This window comes from Homo sapiens, chromosome X (assembly GCF_000001405.40).
Source record: "Homo sapiens chromosome X, GRCh38.p14 Primary Assembly".
Lineage (NCBI taxonomy): Eukaryota > Metazoa > Chordata > Mammalia > Primates > Hominidae > Homo > Homo sapiens.
The window spans coordinates 154923416-154949269 of NC_000023.11; the positions used below are offsets into that span (position 1 = coordinate 154923416).

Below are 25854 nucleotides of genomic sequence, written 5' to 3' on the forward strand. Positions count from 1 at the left end.
TCTCATCGTGAATTCCCATGTGTTGTGGGAGGGACCTGGTGGGAGGTAATTGAATCATGGGGGCAGATCTTTCCTATGCTGTTCTTGTGATAGTGAATAAGTCTCATGAGAACTGATGGTTTTAAAAAGAAGAGTTTTTGGCTGGGCATGGTGGCTCACACCTGTAATCCCAGTGCTTTGGGAGGCCAAGGCGGGCGGATCATAAGGTCAGGAGTTAGAGACCAGTCTGGCCAATATGGTGAAACCCCATCTCTACTAAAAATACTGTGGACTTTTGAGTTAATGCTGAAATGAGTTATGACTTTGGGGGACTGTTGGGAAGGCATGATTGGTTTTGAAATGTGAGGACATGAGATTTGGGAGGGGACAGGGGGAATGATATGGTTTGGCTGTGTCCCTACCAAAATCTCATCTCATGTGGTGGCACATGCCTGTAGTACCAGCTACTTGGAAGGCTGAGGCAGGAGAATCACTTGAACCCGGGAGGTGGAGGTTGCAGTGAGCCAAGATCACGCCACTGACTCCAGCCTGCGTGACAGAGCAAGACTCTGTCTAAAAAGAAGAAAAGAAAAAAAAGAGTTTTCCTGCACAAGCTTTCTTTCTTTGCCTGCTGCCATCCATGTAAGACAAGACTTGCTCCTCCTTGCCTTCTGCCATGATTTTGAGGCCTCCCCAGCCATGTGGAACAGTAAGTCCATAAAACCTCTTTCCTTTGTAAATTTCCCAGTCTCAGGTATATCTTTATCAGCAGTGTGAGAACAGACTAATACAGTAAGTTGGTACCAGTAGAGTGGGGTGCTGCTGAAAAGATACCCAAAAATGTGGAAGCGACTTTGGAACTGGGTAACAGGCAGAGGTTGGAACAGTTTGGAGGGCTCAGAAGACGACAGGAAAATGTGGAAAGTTTGGAACTCTCTAGAGACTTGTTGAATGGCTTTGACCAAAAGGCTGATAATGATATGGACAATGAAATCCAGGCTGAGGTGGTCTCAGATAGAGATGAGGAACTTGTTGGGAACTGGAGCAAAGGTAACTCTTGTTATGTTTTAGCAAAGATACTGGTGGCATTTTGCTCCTGTCCTAGAGATTTGTGGAACTTCGAATTTGAAAGAGATGATTTAGGGTATCTACCATTCTGGGGCCTGGAGGACGGTGGTCCTCTTCTCACAGCTCCACTAGGTGGTACCCCAGCAGGGACTCTGTGTGTGTGCTCTGAGCCCACATTTCCCTTCTGCACTGCCCTAGCAGAGGTTCTCCATGAGGGCCCACCCCCGCAGCAAACTTCTGCCTAGGCATCCAGGTGTTTTCATACATCTTCTGAAATCTAGGCGGAAGTTCCCAAACCCCAGTTCTTGACTTCTGTGCACTCGCAGGCTCAACATCATGTGGAAGCTGCCAAGGCTTGGGACTTGTACCCTATGAAGCCACAGCCTGAGCTCTACATTGACCCCTTTCAGCCATGGCTGTAGCGGCTGGGACACAAGGCACCGACTCCCTAGGCTGCACACAGCATGGGGATCCTGGGCCCAGCCCATGAAACAACTTTTTCCTCTTAGGCCTCTGGGCCGGTGATGGGAGGGGCTGGTGTGAAGACCTCTGACATGCCCTGGAGACATTTTCCCCATTGTCTTGGGGATTAACATTCGGCTCCTCATTACTTATGCAAATTTCTGCAGCCTGCTTGAATTTCTCCTCAGAAAATGGGATTTGCTTTTCTCTAACATTATCAGGCTGCAAATTTTCCAAACTTTTATGCTCTGCTTCCCTTATGAAACTGAATGCCCTTAATAGCACCCAAGTCGCCTCTTGAATGCTTTGTTGTTTAGAAATTAATGGAAGTGCCTGGATGCCCAGGCAGAAGTTTGCTGCGGGGGTGGGCCTTCATGTAGAAACTCTGCTAGGGCAGTGCAGAAGGGAAATGTGGGCTCAGGGCACCCACACAGAGTCCCTACTGGGGTACCACCTAGTGGAGCTGTGAGAAGAGGGCCACCGTCCTCCAGACCCCGGAATGGTAGATCCATCAGAAACTTGCACCAGCATCTGGAAAAGCTACAGAAAATGCCAGCCCATGAAGGCAGACACAAGGGAGGCTGTACCCTGCAAAGCCACAGGGGTGGAGCTGCCCAAGACCATGGGCACCCACCTCTTGCATCAGCATGACTCAGATGCAAGACATGGAGTCAAAGGAGATCACTTTAGAGATTTAAGATTTGACTGCCCCGTAGAATTTCAGACTTGCATGGGGCCTGTAGGCCCTTTGTTTTGGCCAATTTCTCCCATTTGGAATGGCTGTATTTACCCAATGCCTATACCCCATTGTATCTAGGAAGTAACTAACTTGCTTTTGACTTTACATGCTCATAGGTGGAAGGGACTTGCCTTGTCTTAGATGAGACATTGGACTGTGGACTTTTGAGTTAATGCTGAAATGTGTTATGACTTTGGGGGACTGTTGGGAAGGCATGATTGGTTTTGAAATGTGAGGACACGAGATTTGGGAGGGGATGGGGTGGAATGATATGGTTTGGCTGTGTCCCTACCCAAATCTCATCTTGAATTCCCATGTTCTGTGGGAGGGACCTGATAGGAGGTAACTGAATCATGGCAGTAGGTCCTTCCCTTGCTGTTCTCATGATAGTGAATAAGTCTCACAAGATCTGATGGTTTTAAAAAGAGGAGTTTCCCTGCACAAGCTCTCTCTCTTTGCCTGTGCCATCCATGTGAGATATAACTTGCTCCTCCCTGCCTTCTGCCATGATTGTGAGGCCTCCCCAGCCATGTGGAACTGTGAGTCCATTAAACTTCTTTCTTTTGTAAATTGCCCAGTCTCAGGTATGTCTTTATTAGCAGTGTGAAAATGGACTAATACAGGATCCTTTACAGATTAGATGTTAATGTAAGAAAAAAAGAGTTGGAAAACTTCAAGATCTGTGACTGAATAACTGAAATAGGGAATGGTTTTACTTATTTATTTTTTTGAGATCAAGTCTGACTCTGTTGCCCAGGCTGGAGTGCAGTGAGGCCATCTCAGCTCACTGCAACCTCCGTCTCCCCAGTTCAAGCGATTCTCGTGCCTCAGCCTCCTGAGTAGCTGGGACTGCAGGTGTGCACCACCACGCCTGGCTAATTTTTGTATTTTTAATAGAGATGAGGTTTTGCCATGTTGCCCAGGCTGATCTTGAACTCTGGGGCTCAACCAATCCACCTGCCTCAGCTTCCCCAAGTGCTGGGGTTACAGGAGTGAGCCACCATGCCCGGCCAGGAATGGTTTTTGATTGCCATGGAGAAGGCTGAGCAATCAGCAGGTTTTGGGAAGGGGCAGGAATTAAGAGTCTAATTGTGTGCATGTTAAGGTAGGGAGTTGATATGTAAATTTTGACTTCAGGAGAGAGATCTGAGAATATCTCCAGATATTCAACTGGAATTATCTGCAGATAGATAGTACTTAAAATCATGAGGCTAAACAATGTCGTCACAGAGTGAGTATAAATAGAATAAAGAAGAAGTTGGAGAACTAATCCCTGGAGCACTCTAACCTTTAAAGATTAGGGGGATGAAGAAGGACTCGCAAAGTTGACAAAGATTGGCAGTAAGTTTAGTAGAAAAGTGAAGAAAAGTGGTGTTAGAGAAACCAAGTGAGAACCTGTATCAACGATGGAGTAATCACCTCTCAAATACTACTGAGAATTCAAATAAGATGAGGGCTAGTAATCAGTAATGTAAAGATCAATAATGACCTTGAAAATGTAGTTCTTATGAAATAATAGAGATAAAAGCTTCTTTGGAGTGGGTTAAAGAGGAGAGAATGGCAGGAAAAGATGCAAAGGCTGCAAGCAGGGACAATTATTTTAAGACGGTTTCTGTAAAGATAGGGGAGGAAATAATAGCATGATTGATGTTGATGAGATTAATCTAGTGGAGAGATAAATTGATGATGTAAGGGAGAAAAGGAGAAATTGCTGGAGCAACATTTTTTATGAAGGGAGAAGAGATGGGAATCAAGTACAAAACTGGAGAGGTTGGCCTTAGGAGCACAGACACTCTATTTATTGTAATAAGTGTGCAGGCAGAGTATATGGGTACAAATGCCAGTAAATGTGATGTTGGGAGTCTGTGGAGGTTCATTGCACAGCATCAGCTAAGAGTGAAAATGGGCATTGGAGAATGGAAAAAAGGTGCTCGAGATTTAAGGAAAACACAGAAAATCTAAGATAGAGGTCCAGGAGAATGAGAAAGTCAGTGGACTAGGGAAATAGTCTATGGTTGCAATGCAGCAATAAGGGCTTACTTGAGCTAGAAAGCAAGGTGGGAAAGTGACAAGTCATGCTTGTCCCTTCTTGTTCCTCAAACATGGTAAACTTTTTCCATTCTCAGGGCCTTTGCATTTTCTCTTCCCTCTGTCTGGAAACATCTTCTCTCAGAGCTCCATCAGCTGGCCTGTTATCATCATTTAGGTCTCAACTCCTCAAAGATGATTTCTATGACCACCACAGCTAATGTAACACTCTACCGTATTACTCTATCATATTATTCTCTCTACCATATTATTCTATTCTATCTTCTGAACAACACAATTGAGATTGCCTTATTTAGTTTTGTACTAACTTGTCTCTTGCTCTTTCCAATAGAATATAAGCTCCTGCTGTGCTGCACTCCAATGTGTACAAAAGTGTCTGGCATGTAGTAGGTGTTCCATAAATATTTGTGACTGACTGACTCTCCTTATGTTTATATTCCACATTTCTCTGTACTACTTGACTGCTCAACCTCCCTCTACTCACCTAAAAATAAAATCATCCTACTTTGCCCTCTGGATCCCCAGTATCATGAAAACCAATCCTCCCCAAGTCCTTAACCTCTTTAACACGAACTTGCTTCTTCCTTCTGCCTTGCTTAAAGTTCTCTGATGAGACTAAGATTTCCCCTGCAGCTCATAAGGTTGATAGGTGAGGTTGACTTTCTTCCTGCTCCCCATTGCTCCTTCTTGTCCCTGATTCCTCTACCCTCTTGTAAACCTCTCTTCTCTCTATCTCACCAGAGTAAGAGTTTCAAGACACCTTGATTTTTCATCCTCTAACTCTCATTGTTGGTGTCATCATCTGGTAAAGTCAAATGTCACAAGAGCAGAGCAAAGGAATAACCAATGCATTCATACCTGTTTCTTAGAACATGTGGGGAGCTACTCATCCCATAATCCCAGAGCCTCTCCACTGCAGCAATAAAATAGTGTCGTGTTTTCTTTTGAAAGCTGCGGGGGCTCTGATTTTCATCCTCATCATAAATGTCAAAATCTTCCTTCTTCATTTCAACTGATATGGTATCATCATAGTCAATTTCCTCTTGATCTGACTGAAGAGTAGTACGAGTTATTTCCCGTTGATGGCGTTTCAAGACTGGTGGGTTTTGAGAGCACAGCCTTTCAGTCCTACCTTGCTTTGCCCAGGTGACTTCTATTTCGGGCTTATTTTGTCCCTCATTTATTGCTGCTATTGCATGATTGCTTTCACAAGCGTTCAGGGACAAAATGGTATCCTTTTTCTTAAAAGCTGTTTTTTCTGGTGACTTCTCTTGGGATTTCCACTCTTCTTTTGGTATCTGAGTACCATAGTGGTTATCCCAAGCAAGAGGATCCAATAGCTTGGAGGGAGTCTTTGCAGAGCTTTCTGTTGCTACTCTCAGAAAGGGAACTTTTCCAGGTCTGTTTGCTTCATTCCACTTAATCGCTCCCTCTGTTCCCTGAAGAAGGCTCCCTTCCACGAGATCCAGATGGCCAGGAGACCCATTGCTAGTTTCCGTAGGGAATAGGTCCTTCTGATAAATGTGAACTTTTGGAAGCAATTCAACTTTGCCAGATGTTTTGGGCAAGTCTGGTTTCGGGAGAACAGTGTTCTCAACTTTCTTGTATGTGACTGAATTTGTGGCACTTGTCCCCAGGGAGCCAACCTCTCTTTGATCACCAGTCATCTCCAAGGTTAGAATGGCTAAAGAAAGGTTATTTTTTTTGGCTCCTTGTAAGAAATGACTGCTTTCTTGGACCCCAGAATCTTTCTTTCTATAAGATGCTGCTGGAAGATGAGAAGAGTTGTCTTGGAATAGGACCCTGGTCAGATATATAGGTCTAATAGATGGAAATGATGATACCTTTGCAATGGGTAATGGAGATCTATTTGCTTGAGGGATGCTATGACTCCTCGTAAGGCAATCTGATAAGGGAGACTGAGTAATGGCCCCTTTCTCCTTCTCATTGTAGTCTATCTGTGTGAGGGTGCTCGGGGTCAAATGTTTCATGTTTTTGGACCACTGGGTTGAGGTGTCATCCACAATTATCCTTTTTTCAAGTTCTGTTTCTTCTAGTGGGAGTCTGAATTGTTTCAAAGCTCTCTTACTACGTTGCGTGACAAAATTCTGCTGGCTTGTATTAGGAGATATCCTTGTGGTGCATGCATATTTCTCTACAATTTGCTTGGTTTGATTTCCCAAGCCTTCCAAGTTTTCTTCCTCCCCTTTTTTTGAGAAATGAGCTGTGTGTTTCTTTGTTCTATTTGTTGAATCATTTAATGACCTAAAATCTTGAAGTACTGGAGCATATGCCCCGTCATATGAACCTTCTACATTTTGCCTAGTGCTCAGTAAGAAAAGGTTCTTCATGAAATTCTTAGTGCCAGTCACTGTATGTATCTGAGGCAAAACTACATTCTCTTGGATTAATGTTTCCTTCTTTTCTATTTCTTCCTGAATTTTTTTTTCTTGATTGTGTGTATTATTTTCATGTAAATTATCCAAGTTAGTAAGAAATAGGTTTCTGCTGCTTGGAAAAACCATCTCTTTGAGTCCTACGTCCTTTGTAAATTCACCCTTTCCTACTACCACTTTGTTTTTCTCAGACAAGAAATTCTGACCTTCCACAGATTTTTCTGGTCCTAAGGATACTAATTGCTTTGGACTGGGGCCTTGCCCAGAGTTCAGAGAGTTCTTTCCATGAGTCCTTTGTATCCACCTTGCTGATTCTGGCAAGAATAGCATCTTAAAGAACGACATATCTGGATTTTGTGCATCTGGTGGAATGGGGCCCTCTTTTTTCTGTTGGACCATTTCCATGTTTTTTGATGAAGTAGTTTTATTTGACATATGATTTAGCCTCAAAGCTGTAGCATTTTTGTCCATAAGCATTCTGTCATGAATCAAAGGTGTCACTTTTTTAAACTCAGTGTCACTTTCTAATATATTTTGCCAGACTGATGGACTATTCTCAATTAATAATGATGGGCCATCAATGTGAGTCTTTCTATTAGTTGCTGAATTATTGGAAGTTTTGTTTGTCTTTAACAAAGAGATGCTAACTTTGAATAAGGCATTATCTTTAGTCAACAAAGCAGGTCCATGAGCTCTTTTCCCTTTAAATAACCTACCACTCTCTGTTGACGATACATTTTTTCCCCATGAACTTTCTTGGCTATTCATTAAACCTGATTCTAACAACTTTGAATCATTATTTTCTTCACTCAAGCTCAGAGGTCCACCAGACTCAGTAAGGGGAGATGACTTTTTGCCAAATAGAGTGGTATCTAATTGACTATCATAATGAACTGGCATACTTGGGGGTCCTAAGGAACTTGTATTATCAGTACCTGCTGCCAAATTGTCTGATGGAATTGTTGAAATCAGATTATTTGATGTACTAGAAACTTTGAAATCAAGTTTCTTCAACTCTGTTGCTGCAGTTGTCCCCAGTTTCTCATTTAATCTTAATTGGAGGCCTGACTCAGGGGTAAATACCATGTCCCCACTGTGATGGAGCTGTGGCCTGAAGTGTGTCATTTCAGACAGGCTGTTATTACTGTCTATTGCTCCAGGTGATGGATCATCAGAAAAAGTCTCATATTTGGCTTCTTGGAGATCAGATAAGGATAGCCCATGTGGAGTAGGACTCTGTCGCAAGAGCATCAACAAATCACTAGAGGAGACATTTTGTATTTTAGGCATAGGTGTTCTGTGTGCAAACCAAGGGTCAGTCTTCTCTATGTCATTTTCTGGAATTGTGGTGGCATTAAATTGCTTTTGCCTAGTGCTAGGGTGTCTTGAATTCTGGGAGAAGCTTCTTGGTTCAATGGCATTGTTTTTACTCAGCAAGTATGCTGAAATATCTTCATAACTGTCCTCGTAATAATCACCAGTGTTCTTGTCACAACTAGAAACCTTCAGTAAGGCGGTCATGCCTCTGTTCCGAAAGTCTGAGTTGTGGCACCCCAGAATCCATAGACCTGGAGATGAGGAAGAATAAGACTCTGGTTACTCATAACACAGATTCTAAAACGTTCTGTTAGAGGTTCTCTCCCATTCCCAGATAAATGAAAAAATACTAGTCAGTATCATTATATCACAGGTCATTGGGTTAAATCCCTGGAACATGTAATATAAAAGTGGTTTTTGCATTGCTGCTGTTGTACTATGCCTGTTTGTGACCATAAGAAAGGACTGTGATAAAAATGAATAGATATTGGGATTAAAATAGGGAAATGTAATTAATATACACAATAATGGAGGGTCTTAATAGTGACACAGAACTCTCTGAATATGACAGTGATTTAATTCAGGAAAGTATTTATATTGGCTAGATGTTATTGCTATATCACATAGTGGCACAGGTTCCTCTTAAATCCATCAGATTGCCTGGATTCAAATCCCAGTTCTACCATTTACCAGCTGTGTGACTTTGAGAAAGTCACTTAAACTTTCTGAACAATAGGTTTCTAATTTTCAAATGAGGCTAATAGTATCTACCCCATCATATAATACATTGAAATCACATAACACAATACCTAGCATCCACTGTCACCCACTTGCAGAATATGTAAGCACAAGGAAGGAGCATTTAGGTCTAGGATCCAGCTAATATAAAATTCTACCATGGTACTAGCAATATTAATTTCTACCATGAACAAGATTAGCTGAGTGAAGGAATGCAACAAGTTATAATAGGCTAATTACATGGTGGTAAAGTAGATGCATAAACATAAGAGACAAGATACACCTTTACCAAGCTACCCGTTGGGTACCTCAATAGCCTTGTCATTTCACACAGTCTTTTCAGGGAAGATCTTAACTGCATCCACCTTCTTCTCAAGGGAAGCTGCTCCCAAAAGCCCTGTGAATGCTTACATTCTATGTGCAGCCAAATTATCAATCAAGTGGCAAAGGAGAATAAAAACATATTCTAACATATAAAGACTCAGAAAATCTACCTCAAATGTCACCATTATCAGGAAGTGATTATGGAATGTTTGCCACCAAAATAAAGGAGTATCTCAAACAAGAGTAAGACCTGGTATCCAAGAACCAGGTACCTATCCTGAGGGAGGGTAAATAAAAGTCCCAAGTTGATAACTGAGCCTCAGGCCTAGAGAGAACCAGCTCAGACTGGAGCAGGGGGATGCATGCCTCTAGGAGGTCAATCTGTAAGCAAAAAGGAATACATTATATGATGGAACTCTTGAAAAAAAGAGGATAATTCAAAGGCAGACATTATAAGAAAAACAGGGAAACAATTAGAGATTCTCGTCAAACTAGTTACCAAAATGGACTTTTATTTACCCTCCCCTCTGAGAGGGGCCTGGTATTAGGAATGGTGACCAAGCTGGAGTTTAGTTTTAATGGCTTGGGTTAAAATTTTGTAATGAAAATATCTTTTTGTATTGTATGTGTGACTAATGGTAAATTTAAAACATTATAATTAATTCATAAATTTCAATCCAAGAACTTAGAGTTGGTTGTTTGATGAAAAAGTCAATAAAATAAATAACCAAATAAAAATTAAGAAATTTCACATATACAAAATTTGAAGTAAGAAAAGAGACATAATTACAGACACAAAGAAAATGAAAATAATTGTAATTCCCTTGGAGACACCTCAGCTGTCAATCTCCTCCTCCAACTTCTGACATAGGTATAAGCTATCTGGCCAAGTTGGGGTCTAGTCAGCACTACAAATATATAGATCAGTCTCCTGCCTCTGTGATCAAACCAGGGCTTTCACTGAACTAATTAATTCTGTAAGCTATTATCCGATCTTGGAACTAGTTACTAGCTGTTGAGTTGAGAAGGGAATTCGACATCCATTAAGTAGACAGAGAGTTAGGCTAAGAGCAAGCCACTTATCCTCTCGGCTAGCAAACCTTGATCAGAACATATTTGTACCTTGTTTAAGGACGAGAAAACATGCAATCTATAAATATACTACAGAACAGGGAGAAGGAAACAGAAGTCAGGAAACTTAGAGGCAATACCTACTTCTGAAAGTAATCCACTGCAGATTCTAGAGGAAAAGTAAGAACAAATATCTTGCCATACTAAAACACAAGAAGGCACAGCTTCCATAATTTAAAACCACAAAGACATAGCTTCTATAATTTAAGACTGGAAAGGGCATACACAAGGTGAAATGGTAATTCAGCTGGATGAAATAGAAAAGAATAATTATAAGAAAACTTAACACATAACAAGAGATGATCAGTTTGTGTGTGTATGGGTTCCAATAAAACCTTACAAAAACGGACAGAGACCAGACTACCCAAGGGCCATAGTTTGCCCACTCCTGATGTAGATGGTCACCCACTGTGCCTTTCATGGGGTTTCAAAAGATGACCAGTTTTTAAGGTAGTGAAGAAAGGGCTGGCCTTTCTTCTTGCTCCTTTCAGAAATTGCTGCAAATAATTAAAGACAGAGTACAATTAAGCTGGAAGATATCTGAAGCCATGAAACCACAAAATAGAAGTATAGTTAATATAAAACAGGTATCAAAAGATAAAAAGAGTGGATGCTCATGGCTGGCAGATTTCAGAAAAGTCCAAGAAGACATACTTCCTCATATCTTATACCGCCATATCTTCCCCATTTTTAATATCAAAGTCTAATTATTCCTCCTACTTCAGCCTCCCAAAGTGCTGGGATTACAGGCATGAACCACTGTGCCTGGCCTTGTTTCTTTCTTCTATCAAGGTGCAAGTATTATACTTTGATATGAAAAACAGTCAGTCATTCATTATAACAATGGGATCAGGGTATACAAGCTAGCATCGGTGGTTTTACTGGACTCCTTTCAACACAAGTCTCAAAAGGTAGGAAAGATGGGACCAGAAGAAAGAATCACATTGACAAGTCATTTTTGCACTGTAAGTCTGTTTTGCAAGGTGGGGAGGGGAGGAAAGAAATTCTGAAATGTAAACAACTCTGCAGCTTTGATCTTGATGGGCTGGAGAGAAGTAAAGGCTGAAAACTCACACATACAATCAATACCTTTCATAAGAGAATTCCTGCTAATCTAAAACTCACTCCTAATGCCTCATTGATATTAATATATCTACATAAACTTTCTGCGAAAAGTTTATTTAGAACAAACTCACCTCAATGATAAATAATAAGCAAAAAGGATCAAGATACTACAAGATAAAAGGAAGAAAGGAACAACAAGGCCAGGTGCAGTGGCTCATACTGGTAATCCCAGCACTTTGGGAAGCTGAGGTTGGAGGATTGCTTGAGCTTGGAGTTCAAGACCAGCCTGGGCAACAAAGCAAGACCCTGTCTCTACAAAAAATAAAAAAGTTAGCCTGGCATGATGGTGCATGCCTGTAGTCCCACTACTTGGGAGGCTGAGGTGGGAGGATTGCTTGAGCCCAGGAGGTTGAGGCTGCAGTGAGCCATGATCACACCACTTACTCCACCCTGGGCAACAGAGTGAGACCCTGTCTCACAAAAAGAGAAAGGAACAACAAAAACGAATAAAAGAAGAGCAGTAATAAAAAAAATGTTGCCAAGGAGAAGATAAAACTTGTAACCAAACATATCACCATAATCTAATGAGATGACCACATCTGAAAAACCAAAGTCTAATGTAGAATTAGCTATAAGAATTTATAGAAGACGTATGGGTCAATGGAACAGAATGGAGAGTTCAGAAATAAACTCTCACATTTATGGTCAATTGATTTTCAACAAGGGTGTCAAGATGACTTAATGGGAAAAGAATCATATTTTCAACAAATGGTGCCGGGACAACTGGATGTTTACATGCAAAAAATAAAAAAGAGGTTAGACCTCTTCTTCACACCATACACAAAAATTTATTCAAACTAGATCATAGACATATATGTAACAGCTACAACTATCAAACTCTTAGAAGAAAATATGGAAGTAAATGTGGCCTTGGGCTAGACAAAGCCTTCCTAGATGTGACATCAAAAGCACAAGTGACACAAGAATAAAAAGATAAATTGTATGTCATCTATGAGTTCATCAATTAACTCAACAACCCAGGAAACAATTACTGAAGTAAAAATAGGTCAATAAATGTCAACAAAACTGAACAACTAGAAGGAAAAATAGTTAGAAAACAAACTAGAACAGCATATTCAAGAGCTGTGTGACAAAATTGAACAGTATAATATATGTAAATGCAATACCAGAAGAAGAGAAAGAATTAGAAGCAATATTTGAAGACACAGATGATAAATATTTTTCAAAATTAATGATACCAAATTACAGATTGAATAAGCCTAGAGAATGCCAAAGTAACACACACACACACACACACACACACACACACACACACACACAAAAATCAAAGTAAAGAGCTTGAAGCCATCCAGATTTTTTTAAAAAGATACATTATGTACAGTTGAATGCAAATGGGAATTACAACAAACTTATTGTGAAAAACTATGCAAGTAGAAACAATGGAGCGGCATTTTTAAAGTGCTGAGGGAAAAACCAATAAAACAAAATGTAATAAAACAAAAACAACAACCACAAACCCAGAATTCTATACACAGTGAAGATATAATTCAAAAACAGAAATAAAGACTTTTCAGAGAAGCAAAAACTGACAAAATTAATTAACCAACAGACTTGCACTACAGAAAATGTTAAAAAAGACACACTGTAAATATAAGGATAGAGATAGGTTGAAAAGAAAAGAATGGGAAATATATACCACACAAACATTAAGCAAAATAAATATGATAGTGCAGGTGTATAAATTTTAGACAATGCAGACGTTTAAGGCAACAAGTACTACTTCAGACAAAAAGGACATTTCACAAAGATGAAAGAATTGATTTAATAAGAATACAACCTTAAAGTTGTAAGCACCTGATTTTATATTGCCTCATTTATTTTGAAACATTCTTACTAACAAATACAAAAATCAAAATAACAAACTCAACAATCACAGAGATGTCACAGTTTCCTCCATGTCTGTAAGAAACAGATAAAATATCAGGAAGTTTATAAGGATTTTAAAAACATGATAAAGCAACTTGACATAATAGGCAAATATATGACACTCTACCCAATAACAGCAAAGACATATTTGTTTCAAATGCAGTGGGCCATTAATCAAATTAAATTATTCACTGGGCATATAGCAAGTCTCAACAAATTTCAAATGATTGAAATAATATAGAGTATGTTATGTGATCACAGTAAAACAAATAAATCAGCAACAGAGAGAGAGCCAGAAAATCGCCATATATTGGGAAATTAAGTAAAACACTGTAAAATAACTATGAATAAAACAAGAAATAACGTAAAATTTATAAAATATTTTAAACTCAATGATAATAAAAATATGACTCATCAAAATTTGTGATATGGGGTTAAAGCAGTATATAAAGGGAAATTTATGCTTTGTATGAACTTTTAAAAAGTAAGAAATGTTGAAAATCAATGAACCAAGTTTTAATCTCAAGAAGTCAAGAAGAAAAAGAAAACTGAATCCAGAGAAAGTATTGGAATAATAACAAAAGACCAGAAATAAATGAAATGCAAAGCAAAATAAAAATAAAAATTCAACATAGAAAATAAACAAAACAAAAAAATTTTTTTAATTCCATGACCTGATGAACAAAGCAAAAATTTGATCCTATGGTAGGATTAGTAAATTTGATGAACCTATAACAAAGGCGACAAACTTTTTTTTTTTATTATACTTTAAGTTTTAGGGTACATGTGCACTAGGGGGAGGGGCGAGGGATATCATTGGGAGATATACCTAATGCTAGATGACGAGTTAGTGGGTGCAGGCGATAAACTTAAAATAGATAAAATATAAATAACAATATCAGGTATGAAAACGGAGACATCAGTACAGACATTATAAGGATGATAAAAGAACATTACAAATAACTTACTTCAAGTAAATTAAACAACTTAGATGAAAGGGACATATTTCTAGAAAAACACAATTGACAAAAACTGATACCATAAAAAATATTATAATAGCATTAAATACCAAAGAATACACTTTACAAAAATGTGCAAGACCTGTACACTAAAATTTTACAAAAACATTGCCAAGAGAAAATTTAAAAGATGTAAATAAATAACTAAACCATGCTCATGGACAGGAATACTCAATATTGTCAAGAGGTATGCTCCCCCAAATTGATCTGCAGAATCAATGTAATCCCTATCAAAACCTCAGAAGATATTTTTATTGATAAAATTGACAAGATGATTCTAAAATTTATATAAAAATCAAAGAGAGCAAAGTTGGAGGAATTATACTAACAAATATTAAAACTTACTATAAGATAGTATGTTACTGGTACAAAGATAGACCAATAAGTCAATGGAATATAAGAGATCAGGGGTTGGCAAACTTTTTCTGTAAAAAGCAACATAGTAAATATTTTAGGTTTGTAGACACATATGGTCCATGATACATATCCTTATTTGTTTTTTTGCTTTTTTTTTGTTTTGTGTGACAATTCTTTAAAAATGTAAAAAAATTCTTAGCTCAATGCCATATAAAAACAAGCTGCAAATTTGGCTTGTGGATCATAACCTACCCCTGAAATAGAGTACAGAAACAAAGCTACAGTGATACAGTCATCAGATTCATGGCAAAGACAACAGTGCAATTCAGTGAGGAAATTATTTTTTTCCAACAATTGGTGCTAGAGCAATTAAATATCCATATGGAAAAATGAACTTTTATCTGCATCACTCCATCAAAATTAATTAAAAATGAATCATAAACTTAATTGTGAACAACACAGCAATCAGACTTCTAGAAGAAAATATTTAAAATATGTAGAAAGAAAATATAGAAGGATGGCATCATGTTCTTAGGATAGGCAAAAATTTCTGAAACAGAATACAAAAGGCATTAACCATAAAAAACTGAAAAATAAGAATTAATTAAATGTAAGAACTTCTATTAACCATAATGCACCCTTAAAGGAGTGAAAAGACAAACCACAGACTGGGAGAAAACATTCACAATATGTAAATCCAACCAAGGACTTGTATCTAGGCAAAATAAAGACCCATTCTGACCAAAAACTGACAGAGAACTTTTTACTAGCCAACACACACTGAAGGAAGTTCCAAAGAAGTTTCTTCAGACAAAAAGAAAATGATCATAGATGGAAGCAAGAAATGCAGAAAAGAATGAAAGAAATGAAAGGTGTAAATATATATATATATATAAATGATATTGATTATATAAAACAATAATAATGTCTTATGGGGTTTAAAATATATGTAGAATTCAAATAAATGACAAGAGCACAAAAGGTAGGAGTGAGAAAATGAAGTCACGTTGTTTGAAGGTCTTTGCATTGGGAGCCAAGATGGCCGAATAGGAACAGCTCCAGTCTACAGCTCCCAGCATAAGTGATGCAGAAGACGGGTGATTTCTGCATTTCCAACTGAGGTACCGGGTTCATCTTACTGGGGAGTGCCGGACAGTGGGTGCAGGACAGTGGGTGCAGTGCACTGTGCGTGAGCCGAAGCAGGGCGAGGCATCGCCTCACCCAGGAAGCACAAGGGGTCAGGGAATTCCCTTTCCTAGTCAAAGAAAGGGGTGACAGATGGCACCTGGAAAATCGGGTCACTCCCACCCTAATACTGCGCTCTTCCAACGGGCTTAACAAACGGCACACCAGGAGATTATATCCTGCACCTGGCTCAGAGGGTCCTACGCCCATGGAGCCTTGCTCATTGCTAGCACAGCAGTCTGAGATCAAACTGCAAGGTGGCAGCAAGGCTGGGGGATGGGTGCCCGCCATTGCTCAGGCTTGAGTAGGTAAACAAAGCGGCCGGGAAGCTCGAACTGGGTGGAGCCCCCCACAGCTCAAGGAGGCCTGCCTGCCTCTGTAGGCTCCACCTCTGCGGGCAGGGCACAGACAAACAAAAGACAGCAATAACCTCTGCAGACTTAAATGTCCCTGTCTGACAGCTTTGAAGAGAGTAGTGGTTCTCCCAGCACGCAGCTTGAGATCTGAGAACGGGCAGACTGCCTCCTCAAGTGGGTCCCTGAATCCTGAGTAGCCTAACTGGGAGGCACCCCCCAGTAGGGGCAGACTGACACCTCACATGGCCAGCTACTCCTCTGAGACAAAACTTCCAGAGGAATGATCAGGCAGCAGCATTTGCAGTTCACCAATATCTGCTGTTCTGCAGCCTCTGCTGCTGATACCCAGGCAAACAGGGTCTGGAGTGGACCTCCAGCAAACTCCAACAGACCTGCAGCTGAGGGTCCTGACTGTTAGAAGGAAAACTAACAAACAGAAAGGACATCCACACCGAAAACCCATCTGTACGTCACCATCATCAAAGACCAAAGGTAGATAAAACCACAAAGATGGGGAAAAAACAGAGCAGAAAAACCAAAAACTCTAAGAATCAGAGCACCTCCCCTCCTCCAAAGGAATGCAGCTCCTCACCAGCAATGGAACAAAGCTGGATGGAGAATGACTTTGATGAGTTGAGAGAGGAAGGCTTCAGAAGATCAAACTACTCCGAGCTAAAGGAAGAAGTTCGAACCAATGGCAAAGAAGTTATAAACTTTGAAAAAAAATTAGACGAATGGACAACTAGAATAACCAATGCAGAGAAGTGGTTAAAGGACCTGATGGAGCTGAAAACCACGGCACGAGAACTATGTGATGAATGCACAAGCCTCAGTAACCAATGCGATCAACTGGAAGAAAGGGTATCAGCAATGGAAGATGAAATGAATAAAATGAAGTGTGAAGATAAGTTTAGAGAAAAAAGAATAAAAAGAAACAAACGAAGCCTCCAAGAAATACGGGACTATGTGAAAAGACCAAATCTACAACTGATTGGTGTACCTGAAAGTGATGGGGAGAATGGAACCAAGTTGGAAAACACTCTGCAGGGTATTATCCAAGAGAACTTGCCAAATCTAGCAAGGCAGGCCAACATTCAAATTCAGGAAATACAGAGAATGCCACAAAGATACTCCTTGAGAAGAGCAACTCCAAGACATATAATTGTCAGATTCACCAAAGTTGAAATGAAGGAAAAAATGTTAAGGACAGCCAGACAGAAAGGTCGGGTTACCCACAAAGGGAAGCCCATCAGACTAACAGCTGATCTTTCGGCAGAAACTCTACAAGCCAGAAGAGAGTGGGGGCCAACATTCAACATTCTTAAAGAAAAGAATTTTCAACCCAGAATTTCATATCCAGCCAAACTAAGCTTCATAAGTGAAGGAGAAATAAAATCCTTTACAGACAAGCAAATGCTGAGAGATTTTGTCACCACCAGGCCTGACCTAAGAGAGCTTCTGAAGGAAGCACTAAACATGGAAAGGAGCAACCAGTACCAGCCACTGCAAAATCATGCCAAATTGTAAAGACCATCAATGCTAGGAAGAAACTGAATCAACTAACGAGCAAAATAACCAGCTAACATCAAAATGACAAGATCAAATTCACACATAACAATATTAACTTTAAATGTAAATGGACTAAATGCTCCAATTAAAAGACACAGACTGGCAAATTGGATAAAGAGTCAAGACCCATCAGTGTGCTGTATTCAGGAAACCCATCTCACGTGCAGAAACACACATAGCCTCAAAATAAAAGGATGGAGGAAGATCTACCAAGCAAGTGGAAAACAAAAAAAGGCAGGGGTTGCAATCCTAGTCTCTGATAGAACAGACTTTAAACCAACAAAGATCAAAAGAGACAAAGAAGGCCATTACATAATGGTAAAGGGATCAATTCAACAAGAAGAGCTAACTATCCTAAATATATATGCACCCAATACAGGAGCACCCAGTTTCATAAAGCAAGTCCTGAGTGACCTACAAAGAGACTTAGACTCCCACACAATAATAATGGGAGACTTTAACACCCCACTGTCAACATTAGACAGATCAACGAGACAGAAAGTTAACAAGGATACTCAGGAATTGAACTCAGCTCTGCACCAAGCGGACCTAATAGACATCCACAGAACTCTCCACCCCAAATCAACAGAATATACATTTTTTTCAGCACCACACCACACCTATTCCAAAATTGACCACATAGTTGGAAGTAAAGCTCTCCTCAGCAAATGTAAAACAACAGAAATTATAACAAACTGTCTCTCAGACCACAGTGCAATCAAACTAGAACTCAGGATTAAGAAACTCACTCAAAACCGCTCAACTACATGGAAACTGAACAACCTGCTCCTGAATGACTACTGGGTACATAACGAAATGAAGGCAGAAATAAAGATGTTCTTTGAAACCAATGAGAACAAAGACACAACATACCAGAATCTCTGGGACACATTCAAAGCAGTGTGTAGATGGAAATTTATAGCACTAAATGCCCACAAGAGAAAGCAGGAAAGATCCAAAATTGACACCCTAACATCACAATTAAAAGAACTAGAAAAGCAAGAGCAAACACATTCAAAAGCTAGCAGAAGGCAAGAAATAACTAAAATCAGAGCAGAACTGAAGGAAATAGAGACACAAAAAACCCTTCAAAAAATTAATGAATCCAGGAGCTGGTTTTTTGAAAGGATCAACAGAATTGATAGACCGCTAGCAAGACTAATAAAGAAGAAAAGAGAGAAGAATCAAATAGATGCAATAAAAAATGATAAAGGGGATATCACCACCAATCCCACAGAAATACAAACTACCATCAGAGAATACTACAAACACCTCTACGCAAATAAACTAGAAAATCTAGAAGAAATGGATAAATTCCTCGACACATACACCCTCCCAAGACTAAACCAGGAAGAAGTTGAATCTCTGAATAGACCAATAACAGGCTCTGAAATTGTGGCAATAATCAATAGCTTACCAACCGAAAAGAGTCCAGGACCAGATGGATTCACAGCCAAATTCTACCAGAGGTAGAAGGAGGAATTGGTACCATTCCTTCTGAAACTATTCCAATCAATAGAAAAAGAGGGAATCCTCCTGAACTCATTTTATGAGGCCAGCATCATCCTGATACCAAAGCCGGGCAGAGACAAAACCAAAAAAGAGAATTTTAGACCAATATCCTTGATGAACATTGATGCAAAAATCCTCAATAAAATACTGGCAAACCGAATCCAGCAGCACATCAAAAAGCTTATCCACCATGATCAAGTGGGCTTCATCCCTGGGATGCAAGGCTGGTTCAATATATGCAAATCAATAAATGTAATCCAGCATATAAACAGAACCAAAGACAAAAACCACATGATTATCTCAATAGATGCAGAAAAGGCCTTTGACAAAATTCAACAACCCTTCATGCTAAAAACTCTCAATAAATTTGGTATTGATGGGACGTATCTCAAAATAATAAGAGCTATCTATGGCAAACCCACAGCCAATATCATACTGAATGGGCAAAAACTGGAAGCATTCCCTTTGAAAACTGGCACAAGACAGGGATGCCTTCTCTCACCTTTCCTATTCAACATAGTGTTGGAAGTTCTGGCCAGGGCAATTAGGCAGGAGAAGGAAATAAAGTGTATTCAATTAGGAAAAGAGGAAGTCAAATTGTCCCTGTTTGCAGATGTCAGGATTGTATATCTAGAAAACCCCATTGTCTCAGCCCAAAATCTCCTTAAGCTGATAAGCAACTTCAGCAAAGCCTCAGGATACAAAATCAATGTACAAAAATCACAAGCATTCTTATACACCAATAACAGGCAAACAGAGAGCCAAATCATAAGCGAACTCCCATTCACAATTGCTTCAAAGAGAATAAAATACCTAGGAATACAACTTACAACGGATGTGAAGGACCTCTTCAAGGAGAACTACAAACCACTGCTCAAGGAAATAAAAGAGGATACAAACAAATGGAAGACTATTCCATGCTCATGGGTAGGAAGAATCAATATCATGAAAATGGCCATACTGCCCAATGTAATTTATAGATTCAATGCCATCCCCATCAAGCTACCAATGACTTTCTTCACAGAATTGGAAAAAACTACTTTAAAGTTCATATGAAACCAAAAAAGAGCCCGCATCGCCAAGTCAATCCTAAGCCTAATGAACAAAGCTGGAGGCATCACGCTCCCTGACTTCAAACTATGCTACAAGGCTACAGTAACCAAAACAGCATGGTACTGGTACCAAAACAGAGATATAGACCAATGGAACAGAACAGAGCCCTCAGAAATAACGCCACGCATCTACAACTACCTGATCTTTGACAAGCCTGAGAAAAATAAGCAGTGGGGAAAGGATTCCCTATTTAATAAATGGTGCTGGGAAAACTGGCTAGCCATATGTAGAAAGCTGAAACTGGAACCCTTCCTTACACCTTATACTAAAATTAATTCAAGATGGATTAAAGACTTAAACGTTAGACCTAAAACCATAAAAACCCTAGAAGAAAACCTAGGCAATACCATTCAGGACATAGGCATGTGCAAGGACTTCATGTCTAAAACACCAAAAGCAATGGCAACAAAAGCCAAAATTGACAAATGGGAACTAATTAAACTAAAGAGCTTCTGCACAGCAAAAGAAACTACCATCAGAGTGAACAGGCAACCTACAAAATGGGAGAAAATTTTCGCAACCTACTCATCTGACAAAGGGCTAATATCCAGAATCTACAATGAACTCAAACAAATTTACAAGAAAAAAACAAACAACCCCATCAAAAAGTGGGCGAAGGACATGAACAGACACTTCACAAAAGAAGACATTTATGCAGCCAAAAAACACATGAAAAAATGCTCACCATCACTGGCCATCAGAGAAATGCAAATCAAAACCACAGTGAGATACCATCTCACACCAGTTAGAATGGCGATCATTAAAAAGTCAGGAAACAACAGGTGCTGGAGAGGATGTGGAGAAATAGGAACACTTTTACAATGTTGGTGGGACTGTAAACTAGTTCAACCATTGTGGAAGTCAGTGTGGCGATTCCTCAGGGATCTAGAACTAGAAATACCATTTGACCCAGCCATCCCATTACTGGGTATATACCCAAAGGACTATAAATCATGCTGCTATAGAGACACATGCACACGTATGTTTATAGCGGCAGTATTCACAATAGCAAAGACTTGGAACCAACCCAAATGTCCAACAATGATAGACTGGAGTAAGAAAATGTGGCACATATACACCATGGAATACTATGCCGCCATAAAAATGATGAGTTCATGTCCTTTGTAGGGACATGGATGAAATTGGAAATCATCATTCTCAGTAAACGATCGCAAGAACAAAAAACCAAACACTGCATATTCTCACTCATAGGTGGGAATTGAACAATGAGAACACATGGACACAGGAAGGGGAACATCACACTCTGGGGACTGTTGTGGGGTGGGGGAAGGGGAGAGGGATAGCATTAGGCGATATACCTAATGCTAAATGACGAGTTAATGGGTACAGCACACCAGCATGGCACATGTATACATATGTAACTAACCTGCACATTGTGCACATGTACCCTAAAACTTAATGTATAATAATAAAAAAAAAGAACTAATACCAGCTCTTCACAAACTATCCCAAAAATCAAGGGGGAAAAATACTTCCAAACTGATTCCACAAGGCCAGTATTACCCTGAAACCAAACCAGACAAAGACACACACATACACAAAAAGAAACTACAGGCCAATATCTCTGATGAACATTGATGCAAAAATCCTCAACGAACTACTAGCAAACCAAATTCAACAACACAGTAAAAGATCATTCATCATGATCAAGGGGGATTCATCCCAGGGATGCAAGGATGGTTCAACATATGGAAATGAATCAATGTGATACATCATATCAACAGAATGAAGGACAAAAACAAATGATCATTTCAATTGATGCCAAAAAGATTAAATTCAACATCCCTTCATGAGAAAACTCTAAACAAACTGGGTATAGAAAGCTTACCTCAAAACAATAAATGCCATATATGACAAACTACGGCTAATATCATACCAAATGTGGAAAACCAAAAGCCTTTCCTTTAAGATCTGAAACAAGATAAGGATGCCCACTTTCACCAATTCTATAAAATGTAGTCCTGGAAGTCCAAGCCAGAACAAGTAAGCAAGAGAAAGAAATAAAGGGTACCCAAATTGGAAAGGAAGAAGTCAAATTCTCCTTGTTTATAGATGACATAATCTTATATTTCACAAAAAACTAAAGACTCCATCAAAAAACTATTAGAACTGATAAACAAATTCAGTAAAGTTGCAGGATACAAAACCAACATGCAAAAATCAGTAGCATTTCTATATACCAAGAGCTAACAACCTAAAAAGAAATTTTTTAAAAATCATTTACAATAGCTATAATAAAAATAAATATATTGGAATAAATTAAACCAAAGAGCTGAGATATCTCTATAATGAAAACTAAAATACTGATAAAGGGAATTGAAGAACACACAAAAAACTGAAAAGGTATCTATCCCATTTTAATGGGCTGGAAAAACTAATATTGTTAAAATATCAATGCTACCAGATTTAATGTAATACCTATCCAAATGCCAGTGAAGTTTTTCACAGAAATAGAAAAAAGAATCTTAAAATTTGTGTGGAACCACAAAAGACTCCAAACAGCTAAATAATCTGGAGCAAAATGAACAAAGCTGGAGGCATGACACTACTTGACTTGAAACTATACTACAAAGCTGTAGTAACAAAAACAGCACGGTACTGGCATAAAACCAGAAATATATGCCAGTGGAACACGACAGAAAACCCAGAAATAAATCCACACATTTATAGCCAACTCACCTTTGACAAAGTGCCAAGAACACGCACTGGTGAAAGAATAGTCTCTTCAATAAATGGTGTGGGAAAACTGGATATCCACATGCAGAAGAATGAAACTATACCCCTATCTCTCACTATATACAAAAATCAAATCAAAATGGATTAGAGACTAAAATATACAACCTGAAAGTATGAAACTACTGGAAGAAAACATTGGGGGAATGCGCCAGGACATTGGTCTGGGAAAGATTTTGCAGGTAAGACCTCAAAAGCACAGGGGACTAAAGCAAAAGTAGACAAATGGGATTATATCAAGCCATAAAGCTTCTGGACAGCAAAGGAAACAATTAACAAAGTGAAGAGACAATTTATAGGATGGGATGAAATATTTGCAAACTATACAACTGAGAGGGCATTAATAACCAGAATATATAAGAAACTCTAGTCAATAGCAAAAAAAACAAAGAACCCTATTAAAAATGGACAAAGATCTGAATAGACATTTCTCAAAAGAAGACATTCAGGCTGGGCACGGTGGCTCACGCCTGTAATCCCAGCACTTTGGGAGGCCGAGGCGGGTGGATCACGAGGTCAGGAAATCGAGACCATCCTGGCTAACACGGTGAAACCCTGTCTCTACTAAAAATACAAAAAATTAGCTGGGTGTGGTGGCGGGCACCTGTAGTCCCAGCTACTCGGGAGGCTGAGGCAGGAGAATGGCGTGAACCCGGGTGGCGGAGCTTGCAGTGAGCCGAGATCGTGCCACCGCACTCCAGCCTGGGCTACAGAGCGAGACTCCGTCTGAAAAAAAAAAAAAAAAAAAAAAAAAGAAGACATACAAATGGCCAACAAGTATATGAAAAACTGCTCAACATCACTAATTACCAGAGAAATGCAAACCAAAAGCACAATGAGATATTTCACTCCAGTTAAATGGCTTTTATCAAAAAGACAAAATAATTAAAAAATGCTGGTGAGGATGTGGCAAAAGGGGAATGCTTGTACACTGTTGGTGGGAGTGTAAATAAGTACAAATACTGTGGAAAAGAGTAAGGAGGTTCCTCAAAAAACTAAAAATAGAACTACTACGTGATCCTTCAAACTGTTTATTAGTTGCAAGGGTGAAAATAATAACTACTCAGAGGAGAAACTAGATCCCTGTACCTCAAGGAAGAAAATGCTATAAATGACAGCATGTGAGCTAGTGGGCAAAAGAGCATACGAATGGCTAGTGAAGCATTCACAGCTGTTGGTACAAGAAAAATATAATAACTAACCTGGGTTTTCCATCGACATGAAGACAGTTTCTCCTGAGAATGGGAATAGGGTGAGTGTGTCTTCATAGACCATTTTGTGTTTGAAGGTATATCCAGAGAAGAAGACAGAAAGGAAGTCAGTCTGTGCTCCAATGCTTAGAATGTACCAGTATGCCACCTCATGCAAACAAACTGACAACTGCAAACTATCAAAAACATAGCCATTGATGCCTGCAAAAACAATGGGGAAAAGAGATTTAGACACATCACAGATTTAGTATTTTGGATTGTGATTGTCATGATACAATTAGGAATTATTATATGTTATGCCCATTATCTTATTCCCAGGAAGAGATATTATATCTTCCAAAAAAGTAGATTGTTAATAATCAGTTGGGCCCCAATCCCAATGTGAGGAGACAGTCATAAACCATCATGATAAAGATTAATTTGGATGTTATATGGGGGGCATTTTGATGAGTAGCAAGATGTTTGCATGGTCTTAAACTACACAGAGGAGAAACCAGAAAAAAACCTTTGGGTGCTTAAAGTTACCATCTGATGAAGGTCCAGATTCAAGGAAATGAAAGAAGCAGGACAAGTAGTTACTTGTACTAGATCCCTGTACTTCAAAGAAGAAAATGCTATAAATGACAGCATTGGTTGATACAACTGGAATACCAGTTGTAAATTATGGAAATGTGCTTTATCAATTTGAAGTGTCTGTTATGTAAAAGATATCTTTATTCACAGGAAATGTGTACTAAAGTATTGAGAGGTAAAGGGATGTGATGTCTGCAACTAATTTTCAAATAGAAAATAAGTAACAGAAGTGTGTATATAAAGAAAAGAAAATGAAAAACAAAATTGCAAAATGTTAAACATTTGTGAATCTGGGTAAAGGGTGTGTGCAAGTTCCATGTATTATTCTTGTAACTTTTCTGTACATTTTAAATTATTTCAAACTAAAGAGCTAAGCAAAAGTAACATTGGCCTTAGTCTATGAAGGGAATTGTTTCTGAAAGCCTCTTCCACACATCCATTCATCCATCCATTCAATAAACACTTGTCTACTCTGTTACTAGGTACTGTGTAAGATGGTTGCCCACAAACCACTAAGCAATACTTAGACATTGGCTTAGTATAACTAATTAATAATTGAAGTTTTTTTCCTATACAACATTGAGATATTATAAAGCTATTATAATTAAAAATGCAGTCTTAATGCAGAATAGATAAATATATCAAACAAAATATGGAGTCCAGAAACTGACAAGATGTAAGCGGAAACTTAATATATAATAAGTTGAAACTTAATATATAATAAAGGCAGCATCTCCAACCAGTACAGGAAAAAAATCAGCTAGTTGGTAAATGATAATAGAAAATATGACTATCCACTTGGAAAAAATAGATTCCACTTCATTTCACATAACTAACAAAAGTAAAGTCCTTTTAAATTAATCTGAATTTTGCCTAAGGGTACCTTTGCACTTGAGTCCTTGCACAACAAAGTTGCAGCCTGGCTTAGTTGATGAACTAACTGAAAGCCTAATTTAGGAATATGCTTTTATAACAAACAGCTCAGTCTCA

The 25854-nt window shown here is 39.0% G+C and overlaps 1 protein-coding gene across 1 annotated transcript in view; it reads right to left on the bottom strand.

Moving 5' to 3' along the window:
• Positions 1-25854, bottom strand: part of F8 (coagulation factor VIII) — a 186932-nt gene that overhangs the window by 87624 nt on the left and 73454 nt on the right. The window contains exons 13-14 of the mRNA NM_000132.4: positions 24283-24492; positions 5156-8261 (exon numbers count right to left, since the gene is read on the bottom strand). Of these exons, the coding sequence (NP_000123.1) occupies positions 5156-8261; positions 24283-24492 (3316 nt within the window). The remainder of the gene's footprint in view (positions 1-5155; positions 8262-24282; positions 24493-25854) is intronic.